Raw genomic sequence first — 15,486 nt, 5'->3', positions numbered from 1 at the left:
GTAACTGTGATTGTAAACTTGAGCTGGAAAAGCTACAAGTCTTCTTTCTTTTTTTGTTTCCTACTGAGTTTCCACTTTTAGCGAGGAAGGCTATAGTATTTTGACCTATTGCCCAATTGAGCCAGCCCCCTCTAGCACCAAAGTTTATGAATTCCGTGTTGAACTTCAGGTTGGTAAAATTACTGTTCTTACTGACTGAGGGGGAGGAAGGATGGAGGTAGTCTTTGCGAAGAGGGCCACAGATTCCTGCTGCCTTTACCTGAAGCTCTATAACATTTTCAAGAACAGCCAGGCGGGCCAGCTGGCTGAGAAGATGGTGTCTGGAGCCCGGGCCGCCGCCGCAGCCGCAGCCGCTGCGGCCGCCGCGGAGCGAACCCGGGGTGTCCCGGGTGTGCGGTCCAGGGCCAGGCCCGGGCCATGAGCGCGCAGCCCTCGAGTCCCCGAGCCGCGGAGCCCGCCCAGCGTCCCTCCCCATGGCGCGGATCACAGACTACTTCCTGCTGGTGGCATTCAGGCCGCACCCGCGCGGGAGTGGGAAAGGCCAGGGCCAGATTCTGCAGTTCTTCCCGGAGAAGGACTGGGAGGCCAACCCATTCCCCCAGCTGTTTTGCCAGTCCAGCGGGTGGCAGATGTGTCCCGAGAGGAATCCACCGACCTTCTTTGTTGCTGTCCTCACCGACATCAACTCCGGGCGCCACTACTGTGCTGCTTGACCTTCTGGGAGCAGGAAACGACACGCGCTAAGGATGCCACTGAGTGGGAGGAAGAGGAGGATGAGGGAGGCCTTACGCACCTGTCGCCCACAGAGCCTGCCCATCTGCCCAGATGTTTGCCCCAAAGACGCTGGTACCTGTGTCGCGACTTGACCATGCGGAGGTGTTCAGGAACAGCCTCGGCCTCATCTATGCCGTCCACGTGGAGGGCCTGAATGTGTTCCCAGGGAACGTAATTGGGAACCTGCTGACGTGCACCGTGCCCCTGGCTGGGGGCTAGTAGAGGACGATTTATTTGGGGGCTGGTGACCGGCAGGTCATCCAGACTCCACTGGCCGACTCCCTGCCCATCAGCAGCTGCAGCGTGGCCTGCTCTTCCGCCAGCTGGGCATCACCAACGTACTGTCTTTGGTCTGTGCCACCCTCATGGAGCACGAGGTTCTCTTCCTGTCCCGGAGCTACCAGCAGCTCACCGATGCCTGCAGGAGCCTCCTGGCATTGCTGTTTCCTCTCAGATACAGCTTCACCTATGTGCCCATCCTGCCGGCCCAGCTGCTGGAGGCCCTCAGCACACCCACGCCCTTCATAATCGGGGTCAATGCGGCCTTCCAGGCAGAGACCCAGGAGCTGCTAGACGTGATTGTAGCTGATCTGGATGGAGAGACGGTGACCATCCCTGAGTGTGTGCACATTCCACCCTTGCTAGAGCCACTGCAGAGTCAGACGCACAGTGTTCTAAGAATGGTCCTGGACCCGGAGCTGGAGTTGGTTGACCTCGCCTTCCCTCCACCCATGACGTCCCCCTCCTCCTTGAATATGCAGGACAAAGAGCTGCGGCTCTTCCATCAGCTGCTGCAGGGCTATCTCTGGTGCCTGCACGTCGTGTGCATTCACCCGGAGCCTGTCATCCGCTTCCATAAGGCAGCCTTCCTGGGCCAGTGTGGGCTGGTGGAGGACGATTTCCTGATGAATGTGCTGGAGGGCATGGCCTTTGCTCTCTTTGTGTTGGAGTGTGGGGTCCCGTACTGCCCCACGGACCTGTTTGATGAGCTGGTGGCCCACGATGTGGCACAGAGGTGGGTGGATGAGAACCACCCCCAATGAGTCCTGCATCACATCCAAGAACTGGTAGAGCAGCTCTGCAAGAACAAGAACCTGTACCCAGACTTGGCGATGCACAACATGCAGAGGCCGGGTGACAGCAGCCACCTGAGATGGGCGCCCCGGCCCTTCCCCTGGCTGGATGAGGGCGCCATGCAGTGGATCGTGGACCAGGCTGAGGCCAAGATGCAAGGTGCACCCCTAGCCATGAAGGCTGGGAGGAGGACCACAGGGCCCTCAGGGCCCCGCATGACTGCCCTACTGGATGGGTGCAGCAGGCTGCAGGTCAAGAGCCCAGGGCAGCTGGAGGTCGTGGGCAACTGCATCTCCCACGTGTTTGAGGGGAAGATGCTTGAGGCCAAGAAGCTGCTCCTAGCTGTGCTGAGGGCCCTGAAGTGGTGAGCTGCCTGCCACTGCCTCACCCGGGAACTGTACCTGCATGTGCAACAGAACTGGGTGGTCCTGGACCACCAGCAGTTTGACTTTGTCATCAGTATGATGAACTGCTGCCTGCAGGACTGCACTTCTCTGGACAAGCATGGCATCTCGGCTGCTCTGCTGCCTCTGGTCACAGCCTTCCTGGAAGCGGAGCCAAGGGGTAAGGTAGTTCTCTTACAGCTCTGTGCAGGAGCACGTGGTGTGGAGCATGCCACAGTTCTGGGAGGCCGTGTTCTACTGGGACATGCAGACTCATATCTGGGTCCTTTACCTGGAGCCCACCGAGGATCAGGCCCCAGCCCAGGAGGTTGGGGAGGCACCTTCCCAGGAGGATGAGAGAGCACTCTGCCCTAGAAGTGGCTTCTGAGCAGTGGTGCCTGTGGCCATCCCTGAGCGGTGAGAAGCAGCAGGAGCTGATGCAGAAGGAGGAGAGCACAGTGTTCAGCCAGGCCATCCACTATACCAACTGCGTGAGCTACCTCCTGCTGCCTCTGGACAGCAGCAAGAGCCGCCTGCTTCAGGAGCTGGGTGACCTGGAGAGCACCAGCAACAGCCTGGTCCCCAACAGCATGGCTGGCAGTGTGGCTGAGAGCTATGACACGGGGAGCGGCTTTGAGGACAGAGAGACCTGCAATGTAGCTGGGGCTGTGGTCCACTTCATCAACCGCTTTGTGGACAAGGTCTGCACAGAGAGTGGGGTCACCAGTGACCACCTCAAGGGGCTGCATGTCATGGTGCCAGACATCGTCCAGATAAACATTAAGACCCTGGAGGCGGTGCAGCGGGAGAACCGGAGGCTGATGCCCATCTAGAAACCCAAGCTATTGAGGCTGCACCTGCTGTCTGGTGAGGAGTGTGTGCTGGATGGCCTGCGCATCTACCTGCCACCGGATGGGCGTGAGGAGGGTGCGAGGGCGGGCAGTGCGGGGTGGCCAGCACTGCTCCCAGCTGAGGGCGCCCTCTTCCTCACTACGTACCGGGTCATCTTCACGGGGATGCTCACAGACCCCCTGGTGGGGGAGAAGGTGGTGTTCCGCTCCTTCCCGGTGGCCGCGCTGACCAAGGAGAAATGCATCAGCATCCAGACCCCTTTGGATCAGCTATTGCAGGACGGGCTGCAGCTGCGCTCCTGCACATTCCAGCTGCTGAAAATGGCCTTTGATGAGGAGGTGGGGTCTGACAGTGCCGAGCTCTTCTGCAAGCAGCTGCATAAGCTGCGGTACACACCGGATGTCAGGGCCACCTTCTCCTTCACCCTGGGCTCTACCTACACACCCGGCCAGCCACCCCGAGTCACCAAGAACAAGGGTCCTTCCCTCAGAACCCTGTCCTGGAACCTGGTTAAGAACGTCAAGAAGACCATCGGGCGGCAGCATGTCACTCGCAAGAAGTACAACCCCAACTCAGCTAGGAGCACTGGAGCCAGCCGCCCTCTGAGGACCAGGAGGAGGAGATCTCAGTGTCGGAAGAGCTGGAGCCCAGCACACTGACCCCGTCCTCAGCCTTGAAGCCCTCGGACGGCATGACCATGAGCAGCCTCCTGGTGGAAAGGGCTTGCTGCCGCGACTATCAGTGCCTTGGCCTGGGCCCCCTGAGCAGCCGCCTGAGCCGGGCCAAGTCTGAATCCTTCCGCATTTCTCTGGTCAACCGCATGCATGCCATCTACCGCAGGTACCCGGGGCTGCTGATCGTGCCCCAGAGTGTCCAGGACAACGCCCTGCAGCGCGTGTCCTACTGCTACCGCCAGAACCGCTTCACCGTTGTCTGCTGGCGCATCCGGCGGTCCAAGGCAGTACTGCTGCATTCTGGGGGCCTGTACGGCATAGGTGTAGTCGGACTCTTTAAGGCCCAGAACGCACCTTCTCCAGGCCAGTTCCAGGCAGACTCGAGTAGCCTGGAGCAGGAGAAGTACCTGCAGGCTGTTGTCAGCTCCATGCCCCGCTACTCCAGTGCGTCCGGACGCAACACACTTAGCGGCTTCTCCTCAGCCCACGTGGGGAGTCACATTGGCAGCCCCAGAGCCAGGGTCACCACTCTGTCTAACCCCATGGCGGCGGCATCCAGACTGACTGCACCCCGAGGTAAGTGGGGGCAGTGTCTGGACCTGTGGGCGCAGCAGTGGGCTTGGTGCCAATGTGGGCTCCCAGCTAGCTGGCAGAGAGGCGATGGCCCCACCCCAGGCCAACGGGTGTCCCCCGGCCCCCGACCCGGGCTTCCTGTGGCCACAGCAAGCAGCCCTCTACATCCTCGGGGACAAAGGCCAGCTCAAGAATGTGCGGCCGGACCCCTTGCAGCAGTGAGAGCTGGTGCCCATTAAGGTATTCCAGGCGCGGCAGGTGAAGGCTAGCTTCAAAAAGCTGCTGAAGGCATGTGTCCTGGGCTGCCCTACTGCTGAGCCCAGCCTAGTCTCCTTCCTGCGCTTGCTGGAGGACTCAGAGTGGCTGATTCAGATCCACAAGCTGCTGCAGGTGTCGGTGCTGGGAGGGGGGAGCTCCTGGACTCAAGTTCCTCCGTGCTGATGGGCCTGGAGGACGGCTGGGACATCACCACCCATGTGGTATCCTTGGTGCAGCTGTTCTCAGACCCCTTCTACTGAACGCTGGAGGGGTTCCACCTGCTGGTGGAGAAGGAGTGGCTGTCCTTCAGTCATCGCTTCAGCCACGGGGGAGCCCACATTCTGGCTGGACAGAGCAGCGGCTTCACACTATCTTCCTGTAGTTCTTGGACTGCCTACACCAGCTCCACCTGCAGTTCCCCATGGAGTTTGAGTTCAGCCAGTTCTATCTCAAGTTCCTCGGCTACCACCACGTGTCCCGCTGTTTCTAGACCTTCCTACTGGACTCTGACTATGAGCACATTGAGCTGGGGCTGCTGTACGAGGAGAAGGGGCAGCGCAGGAGCCAGCTGCCTTGCAGGTCTCTGTGTGGACCGGATGAGCAAGAGGACAGCCATGTTCCACAACTACATGAATGCACCCGAGGACACAGAGGTCCTGCGGCCCTACAGCAACGTGTCCAACCTGAAAGTGTAGGACTTCTGCGCTGAGGAGATGCTGGCCGAGGGCCCTCCCTATGACTGGGAACTGGCTCGGGGAACCCCCTGAGCCCCTGAGGAAGAACGGTTTGACGGAGGCGCTCCCCAGAGCAGGTGCTGTGTGGTGTGGCCCTGCTACCACAGCTGCCCCCGAGCCCAGCCTGACGCCATCTCACGCCTGCAGAGGTTGGAGACAGAGCTGAGCCGACCCGCTAAGCGCTGGAAGGACACCTGGGACCGCGTGAAGGCTGCATGGCGCCTTGAAGCCCGGCCAGATGGACGTGGCACCCCTAGCTCCCTCCTAGTGTCCACCGCACCTCACCACCGCTGCTCGCTGGGTATGTACCTGCAGGAGGAACCCGTGGGCTCCACCTTGAGCCTCAGCCTGGAGAGTGACCAGAATAGAGGCTCGACCGCATCTGGCTCCCGCCAGGCTGCCTGCGGCAGCACCAGCACCCTTACAGCCAGTTCCAGACAGCTGAGAGTGAGAACAGGTCCTACGAGGGCACTCTGTACAAGAAGGGGGCCTTCATGAAGCCCTGGAAGGCCCGCTGGTTCATGTTAGACAAGACCAAGCACCAGCTACGCTACTACGACCACCGTGTGGACACTGAGTGCAAGGGTGTCATCGACCTGGTGGAGGTGGAGGTGGAGGCTGTGGCACCTGGCATGGCCACCATGGGTGCCCCTAAGAGCGTGGATGAGAAGGCCTTCTTTGACGTGAAGACAACTCCTCGCGTTTACGACTTTTGTGCCCAGGACGTGCCCTCAGCCCAGCAGTGGGTGGACCGGATCCAGAGCTGACTGTCGGACGCCTGAGCCTCCCGACCTTGCCTGGCTGCTCTGCTTCCAGTCGTTACCGACCACTAGGGGTGGGCAGGGCAGCCCTGGCCATGTTTACAGCCCCGGCCCGGCCCTCGGCAGTAGTGAGGCCCCGAGCCCCCAGCACTTGTGTGTACAGCCCTAGTCCCTGCCCCGCACCGCCCGGCCAGCCCTAACTTATTTCGGCGTCACAGCTGAGCACCGTGCCGGGAGGTGGCCAAAGTACAGCCCGCAATGGGCCTGTAAATAGTCCAGCCAGCTGGCTGCAGGCGAATTGTTTCTAGAACCAGAGTCTATATAAAGAGAGAATGAATGCAAAATAAAATAAATAAATAAATAAATAAATAAATCTAGAATAAATATCTCAATTTGTTATCACCTTTGGTCAATTTTCGACAATTTTATATGTTTTTTTTTTTAACCTGAGAGGATTTGCTAATCTCTTAATACCACCATGACTAAAAGTTCAAGTCATTTACTATTTATATAATAAGTCATAACATTGGATTTTAGGGCTACTGGAAGAGTTCAATGCAAAATGCTCTTTTAGATATGTAAGGCCTCAATCACAGAGCTACAGGCAGTTGCTTATCCTTCCAGTAACACTCTCTTTATTTTTCTTTATTTGTAATAATTTTCTTTATTTGTATACATGGCTGTCTTGACTGGTTCACCATGGTTCTTTACGAAGCTAGGAATAGACATAATGCACAAAATGTGGTTTCTAGCTTCATCCCTGTTCTATGAAGCAAAGCTTCAGCCTACCAGGTTGACTACTGCATTTTAGTTGATTATTGTTATGCAGGGCATGTGGGAGATCTTTAGTGGGAGAGATAAATAGTGGGCAGGAAACCAGAAAACCAAGGATTATAATAACCTTACTAAAGAGTAGAAACCCACTAAGAGAAAAATAAATAAAATGTGCTAGTTAGCAAACTCCACCTGCAGCCTCTTCCCCAAACCACATTTTCCTCACTGATTAAAACCATCTCACTTATGAGCTAGACATTACGCAGATGTGCAGATTTTGGCTTAATTAATCAAAATCCAGTAGCATGGGTTTGCCTGGATTCATTTTGATTGCAAAAATCCCTTCAATCAGCGACTTGTAAAATAAATGTTCAGATTTTCAAGACTAAGCTTTGTTTTTCATAAAGTGTTTTTCATTTCATTGATTGGTACTTGTGCACACCGCATCTTGTTCTCTGGCTAGAAGTCCAGGTGTATGGGAAGAAGAGCGCTTTATTGAGTCACTCTTTTCCAGAGCAGTGACTATTTTATATGAATAAAATGAAGTTTAATAAATTGCCAGGCTTATGAATAGAAACTTATAAAGCATAGAAGAGGAAATCGATTCCTGGCAACCTAAAAATATACCAAAGAAAGAAAGAAACTGCAAAATTGTACAAGCTTGGCTGTTCCCACTTTTGCTGTTCTTTTTAGCAAACTTGACAGGCAGTTTGCTTGCCAGCAAGCTTTGTAACTGGGGCTGACTCAATCTCAGGAGTGAGGGTGGGGGCTCAGTGTCATTCACTCGCCAACTGACATCATATCAAAGTATTTGACAGACACAATTTACTGTGAGAGGTTAATGTTACGTTCCTTTAAAACGAATGGTTTAATAAACCAAGCATCAAAACTGACTTAAAGAAGTCTCAAATTCCCCAGTCTCAGACTTCTAATTCTTCAGCTAGAAAGAAAAGGAATTTATGGGCTGTCCCTTAAAATTCTACAGGTTAGAAAATACAGTACTCTAAAAATGAAGTTCTCAAGAAAAAATGTCTTGCCTGAATTTTATTGCAATCTTTAACAGAACTGCTGGTGATTAGCGGTTTCTTTTCTGTGAAGGGAGGACTACAGGGCTGTCTATTATACAGTAGTGGACAGATATCATTTCATGGTACTCCACAAACTCTTAATGAAAGAATAATGATAATAGTAGATAGTGACACTAACATAGCTGTACAAAACAGTGTAAAAGAATCAAAACACTTGTTGAATGGAAACTTTACTTCCACCCCTGTTATTATGTGGGGTCTTTCCTTTCTTTCTTAGCCAACCTTTTTGAAAAGCTAGTCTGTGTGTGTTATCTTCCCTTTCTCCCCTCTCAGGGGAGCCGTAGTGTCCATCTACCAAGAGCCCTAGGGTGCATCTACCTTCTGTGATCTCAACTTTGGAATGATGCATGGATTTGGCTCTCACTTTCTATCTAATTTATTAAGAAGTCATATCCTCTTTTCAGTCTTGCCACATAGAATGGTTTCTAATATTCTTTTGTGCTCACCTACCTTTTAATTATCAGCACATTCCTACAGTTAGCTTTGATGGTTTCTTGGCTGGCAGATCATAAAGGTCCTGTCCAGATCACTGGTTCACCATCTAGATCTGTGTATTTTTACTATTAGTTGCTTCATTCCTCACTCCTAACCTCTGCTTTTTTTTTTTTTTTTCCCAATCAGGTAGGCTATACCATCATTTCAAACAAAAATCGGGTGAAAGATAGGACTAAGTTACTTCTCTAGGGTTAATGAATTTTTCCCTATCCAATTTTTCTAAAAAGAGGGATTGAGGTTTTTGACAATAAACATACATTTGGGGCAGGCACTATTGCTTTTCTGTAAGGGTTTGCTCTTTGAAGACTATCTTCCACTCTGCAAACGTCCATTGACCTAAGTGGCTATTTCCTTGGATAACTGCAGGAATCTCTTTCAGAAGATACTGCCTGGCAAAGGTTTTGCTTGTCATTGTGTAGGTATTTGTCTGATGGTGAAAACATAAAGCCACTGTCCCCTAAACTTTATTGGGCAAGCTGGTCGCAATGGAACTACTACTGATCCCCTCTTGAAATTGGTCAGTTAGCCGGGCACAGTAGCTCACGCCTGTAATCCCAGCACTTTGGGAGGCCGAGGTGGGCAGATCTCCTGAGCTCAGGAGTTCAAGACCAGCCTGGGCAACATGGTGAAACCTCATCTCTACTAAAATACAGCAACAAAAAAATTGGCCAGGACTGGTGGCGTGCACCTGTAATCCCAGCTACTCGGGAGGCTGAGGCTGGAGAATCACTTGAACCCTGGAGATGGAGGTTGCAGTGAGCTGAGATTGCACCACTGCAATTTAGCTTGGGCTACAAAGTGAGATTCTGTGTCAAAAAAAAAAGAAATCAGTCAGTTAAAGTTTTTGATTCGTCTCCCAGCGCCAAAACCCTGGCAGAATGGCTGTGCCTGCTGAGGTTGAGCCCATGTTATGCACATTGTAACATGTGGATAAAAGCTCCAAGGTTAGTTTGCGCTGGGCCAGGTACCTCCACGTGATGGTTGAGTTGAACTTTCAGCATAGATTTTTTCTGCCTTCCTGGGAATAACGCTATAGTTTCAGGGTGGGGGCTGAGCTAAGTATTGGAGTGGAGTGAGGCAGGAGGACAAAGTGCAGCAGCACACAGGCTACAGGTTGGGAACAGTAATCTCTCATTGGCTCACTCCATCAATCAGCCCTTCAGACAGAAATGGCTCACACAGCACAAGGAGATTTTTCTTTGGAAGATTCTCAGAAGTATGCAGTCGGAGGCCTTTTCTGTTAGGAGATTTGGCTTATGCAGCTGGCATTGCTGACAGCATGGCAGCCTATTTAGCAAGGCTTCGTACTGAACACCTGTGTACATGAATAACAATGCCTGAAATAACCTTGTTGCTACTCTTACTGTGGTAACCGTTACTCTTACAATTGTTTTTCTCATTCTCTCAAAGGCTTTTTGTGTGTGGCGGAGGAGGGACAGATTGTATCTTCTGATTTGACTAGGGGCAATAGTGCCCAATCAGCAGGCTGAGTGGGAAGGATCCCACCCTAATCTCCCGCCCTAGACAGCACATGCTCTGAGAAACCACTTTTATCTGTTCATGGTCTAAAAACTTACCCTAGCAGACATAATTTCAGGCCAGAAATTTTAAACTCTGATTTCTAGGGCCTTTTCTCTTAGGGAGAAAATATTTTGCGAGTTTTCCTTAGTTCAGGAAAACTCTCATATTAATGGGGCAGACATATTCATATAGTCACTTTATATAAAATTAAATACATATAAAATAATCAAAGTATAGTGCCCTTCTGTAATTTGCCTCTCCCACCCAACATTGTGTTTTAAACATTCACACATGTGGCCGGGCATGGTGGCTCACACCTGTAATCCCAGCACTTTGGGAGGCTGAGGCAGGTGGATCACGAGGTCAGGAGATCGAGACCATCCTGGCTAACACAGTGAAACGCCGTCTCTACTAAAAATACAAAAAATTAGCCAGGTGTGGTGGTGGGCACCTGTAGTCCCAGTTACTAGGGAGGCTGAGGCAGGAGAATGGCATGAACCCGGGAGGCGGAGCTTGCAGTGAGCCGAGATCGCACCACTGCACTCCAGCCTGGGCGACAGAGGGAGACTCTGTTTCAAAACAAAAACAAAAACAAAAACAAAAAAACAAAATTCATACATGTCAATATAGCTGTGGTTTATTCATTTTCATGGCAGTATAGGATTTCATGATATGACTATATCACAATTTTTATTTTTCCTTTTTACAATCAATGGACATCTAGGTTGTTTTGCCATACATAATTATAGATAATGCTGCTATGAATCATCTTGTATTTATATAGTGATGTGTGTGTAAGAATTCTCTAGTGCATATGCATAGAAAAAGAATTGCTGAGTTTTGGGGCTGTGTATATTAAACTTTAATAGATGATGCCAAATTATTTTCTAAAGTGATAGTACATAAAATACATAAAGTAACATACATTCCCATTAGCAGTACGCAAGAGTCCCTGTCACTACTCATACTAACCAACCCTTGGCATTGTGTAACTTTTAAATTTTCAACTTGCTGAAAATGATTTTGATGTATATTCCCATGATTGCTGAAATGCTGGAGCACATTTTTGCAAAGTTTATTAGTAATTTGTATTTCCTCTTCTGTGAAATGCCCAAATCATTCACCTTTTTAATTGATTATTAAAAGTTCTTTACATATTCTGGATACTAATCCTTTGCCAATTATATTTCCTGGAAATATCTACTGTTTATCTACTTCTCTTTCCTGTTTTGTGAAGTCTTTTGATGAAAGAAAAAGTACTCATTTTTAATGTAGTTGAATTTATTAATAACTCTCTGTATGGTTTTCATTTTCTGTAATTTTAAGAGAGATTAATCCATATCCTGAGTTCGCTTCCTATACTTTCTCTTAATGGTTTTAACATTTTGCTTTTCATATTTTATTTCCTCATTCATCTGAAATTACTTTTGTTTTGTATTATGAGGCAGGAGTCTTTTTTGTTTTGTTTTGTTTTTTGTTTTTGGAGACAGTCTGGCTCTGTTGCCCAGGCTGGAGTACAGTGGTGCTATCTCAGCTCCCTGCAACCTCCACCTCCCAGGTTCAAGTGATTCTTGTGCCTCAGCCTCCTGAGTAGCTGGTACTACAGGTGTGTGCCATTATGCCTGGCTAATTTTCATATTTTTGGTAGAGACAGGGCTTTGCCATGTTGGCCAAGCTGGTCTCAAATTCCTGAGCTCAAGTGATCTGCCCTCCTTGGCTTCTCAAAGTGTTGGAATTACAGGTGTGAGCCCCTGTGCCTGGCCCATTTTGATTTTTTCTTTTTTTTTCTTTTCTTTCTTTTTTTTTTTTTTTGAGACGGAGTTTTACTCTGTCACCAGGCTAGAGTGCAGTGGCACAATCTCAGCTCACTGAAACCTCCGCCTCCTGGATTCAAGTGATTCCCTTGCCTCAGTCTCCCGAGTAGCTGGGACTACAGGCACAGGCCACCATGCCCGGCTCTTTTTTGTATTTTAGTAGAGACGGGGTTTCACCTTGTTGGCCAGGATGGTTTCGATCTCCTGACCTCATGATCCATCTGCCTCGGCCTCCCAAAGTGCTGGGCTTACAGGTGTGAGCCACTGCTCCCCTCCTTCTGTTTTTTTTTTTTTTTTTTTTTTTTTTAATGTAACTGATTATAAATCTACAAACAAACAGTATTGTTTCTTTCTTCCTAATCCCTATGTCTCTTGCTCTTAAGGATTTTTTAAACAACCTCAATCATTGAACAGGACCTTTGCTGTGGAATTAAAAAAAAAAATCACTCATGGTTGTTGAATTTTATCAGAAGTTTTTCTGCATCTATTGAGATGTGCCTCCATTAATTTGTTAATGTGGATATTATATAGTAATATATATTCAAAAGTATTAACCTGATACTGGCCTTTGGCTCTTATTGTACATTGCAGTATTCAGTTTATTAATACTTATTTATAATTTCTGTGTCCATGTTCATAGGAAACATGTCCTATAATTTTTATTTCTTAGAATTCCTTTGCTGTTTTATATATCAGTGTTATACTAGCATGATAAATTAGTTGTGTAGTATTCACTTTCTTACCTATAAAAAGTCTGTTAAAGTTTATAGAATTCACTTGTAAAACCAAATGAGACTGATGTCTTTTTAGAAAGATTTGAATGTAGTGATTAATGTTCTTGTGATTATGGAACATTTAGGCTTTCCATTGCCCTTTTTAATTGAGATATATTTTATATACTATTACATTCACCTATTTAAAGTGTACAATTCAGTGTTGTCCAAATTCCAGAACATTTTCATCACCCCCTGCAAAAAAAACCACATTTCTATTAGCAGTCACTCCCCACGCCTCTTTCTCTCTAGCCCATTGCAACCACTAATCTACCTTCTGTGTCTTGGATTTTCCTATTCTGGACAATTCATATAAATGGAATCATATAACGTTTGATATTTTGTGTCTGGTTTCTTTCACTTAGCATGATGGTTTCCTGGTTTATCCATGTGGCATTTATCAGTACTTCATTCCTTTCTAAGGCTAAGTAATATTTTGTTGCATGGCTATACTATGTTTGATTCATTCACTCATCAATCCACAGATGCTTGGTTTTTTCTATTTTTGGCTGTTATGAATAATGCACTTTAATGTACAAATTTTTCTGAAACGTATGTGTTCAAATCTCTTGGGCGTATATCTAGGAATGGGATTGCTGGCTCGTGTGGTGCCTCTGTGTTTAGCTTTTTGAGGAACTGTGTTTCAAACTGTTTTCCAAAACAACTGCACCAGGTGACACTCCCAGCATTGATATTTTATGGTTCCAATGTGTTCACATCCTTCTCAACACTTGTTAGGGTCTATCTTTTTGGTCTTAGCCATCCTACTGAGTATAAAGTGGTATCTATTTCATTTTGAATCAGCTTTTATAATACGTATTTTTCCAGAACTTTGTCCAATTCAACCAAGTTTTCAAATTTTTAGGCATAAAGTTATTAGTAATATCTTTTCTTCAGCAAATATATTAATGCCCCTTTTTATTTCTTTTTAAAATTTGTGCTTTCCTCTTAAATTTTTGATCATCATTGTTAGGTATTGATCAATTTGTTATTATTTTCAAAGAAAAAAATTTTTGTTAATCTTTTGTATTGTGTCTTTCCATTTTACTTATTTCTGTTTTCATAATTATAATCTCATTTTTTTCTATTTTCTTTGGGCTTATTATTTTCTATTTTAACTTCCTAATTTGATACCAAACTCACTAACTTTGAGTCTTTCTTCTTTTTCCAATATATTATTTTTAAACTTATTGTTTTCTTCTAAACACTGTTTTAGCTATACCTCATAAGTAATAATATATCATGCTTTTATTGCATTTCATCCAAATTATTTTTCAATTTACATTATGCTCTATACTTCGATTCATGATTTCTGTTTGTGTTGAGAATTATGCCTTTTAACTGACCAATGCTTATTAAGTTATATTTTTTTAATTAATTTATAACTTCAGAATGTTGTAGTCAAAGAAATGTATCTGTGTGAAACCAACTCTGAAATATATTGAGACTTGGTTTAGGGTCCAGAATTTGGTCTGTTGTCATAAATGATCCATGCATTACTCTAGAATAACATGTATTATGGAGTCGAGTGCAATGTTCCCCATATGTCCATTGTTAGATCAAGCTTAAAAAATGCATTTTTCAAATATTCTATATACTTCCTCATTTTTATCTACTAATCTATTATTTACTGAGAGCTGTGTTAAAATATGTCAATTTCTCCTCATATTTCTGAAAATCTTTGCCTTTTATATTTTGTTGGTATATTATTAAATGCCTGTAAGTTTAGAACTGTTATATTTTCCTGGTGATTTATTTATTTTTAATTGTAATTACCTTCTATCACTGACAATGTGCTGTACTTTATTTTTTTATGTTTTTTCTTGAGACAGGGTCTTACCCTGTCACCCAGGCTGTAGTGCAGTAGTCCAATCACAGTTCACTGCATCCTCAACCTCCCAAGCTTAAGTGATCCTCCCACCTCAGCTTCCAGAGTAGCTAGGACTACAGGCATGCATTAGCATGCCTGGCTAATTTTAAACATTTTTTTTTTTTTTTTTGTAGAGATGAGGTGTCATTGTGTTGTCCAGGCTGGTATCAAGCTTTTGGGATCAAGCTTCTGGGCTCAAGCAATCTTCCTGCCACAGCTCTGCAAAGTATTGGGATTACAGGCATGAGCCACCGTGACTAGCTGTGTTGTATTTGACAGCTTCTATTTATTCCTGATACTTGAATAATTGTACCAGCTATCTTTTTTAATCATATTTTTACCTTTTAATCTTTTTGAATCCTTAGGTTTTAGGATCATTATTATTGTTATTGTAGATGTAGAAAGAGCCTAATTGCTCTCATGTTTTAATTGTGATTATAGTTCCTTTACAATCATTGTTATTTTCAATATATTTATATCTATCTCTACTATATAATTTACATTTTATATTTGCCCACTCTTTTGGGCTCTTGTTTTCTGCTCTTCTTGTCATCCCTTTGATTGATTAATGTATCCCTCATTCCATTTTTTTTTGCTGCTAGTTTGGAAGTTATACACTCTATTTGTATTCTTTTAGAGATTGTCTTAGAAATCTTCATGTGCATATTTAACCTAAGGTCTAAATCAGAATATTTGCCCACCTCCCAAATAATTCCCACATCATAACTCCTTTTAAGTCTGATCATTCTGTCCAGATTAATATGCTATTATTTTTGGAGGAATTTATATCTATTTTAAATTCTAACTCTCCCTAAATTAGACTTTTTAAAATTGTTTTAATACCATTACTCTTTGCTTAGATTTACCTACACAGTAATCTTCTCTCATCCTTGCACCCACTGAATTCCTTCTTGCATCTTCTACCTTTTTTATAGAATCATTCTACTTGGAGTTCAACATATTTTATGTTTCTTTAGTAAAGGTCTGTTAATATTAAATTTTCTGTTCTGTTTTATGAAAATATATTTCACTCTTGTAACTAAAACATACTATATTCTGGATACACAC

The 15,486-nt window shown here is 46.4% G+C and overlaps 1 protein-coding gene and 1 pseudogene across 2 annotated transcripts in view, besides 1 other annotated feature; one reads left to right on the top strand and one right to left on the bottom strand.

Moving 5' to 3' along the window:
• The window catches only part of XKR4 (XK related 4), a 440,027-nt gene that overhangs the window by 86,442 nt on the left and 338,099 nt on the right, over nucleotides 1-15,486 (bottom strand). The window lies entirely within an intron of this gene.
• Nucleotides 292-6,416, top strand: SBF1P1 (SET binding factor 1 pseudogene 1; annotated as a pseudogene). Its single transcript, NR_027765.2, has one exon. The product of NR_027765.2 is annotated as an SET binding factor 1 pseudogene 1 (transcript).
• Nucleotides 1,508-1,891: a silencer, noted in NCBI's record as "fragment chr8:56366282-56366665 (GRCh37/hg19 assembly coordinates)". NCBI's record gives its function as "represses an EF-1alpha promoter that drives an FKBP-Casp9 reporter gene in an ReSE screen in phorbol 12-myristate 13-acetate-treated (for megakaryocytic differentiation) K562 erythroleukemia cells {active_cell/tissue: K562(+PMA)}" and the evidence as "EXISTENCE:reporter gene assay evidence [ECO:0000049][PMID:32094911]".

The sequence above is a fragment of the Homo sapiens genome, chromosome 8, assembly GCF_000001405.40.
Source record: "Homo sapiens chromosome 8, GRCh38.p14 Primary Assembly".
Classification (NCBI taxonomy): Eukaryota; Metazoa; Chordata; class Mammalia; order Primates; family Hominidae; genus Homo; species Homo sapiens.
The sequence above is the reverse complement of the archived record's forward strand: the minus strand, read 5'-3'. Positions and strand labels throughout refer to the sequence as shown.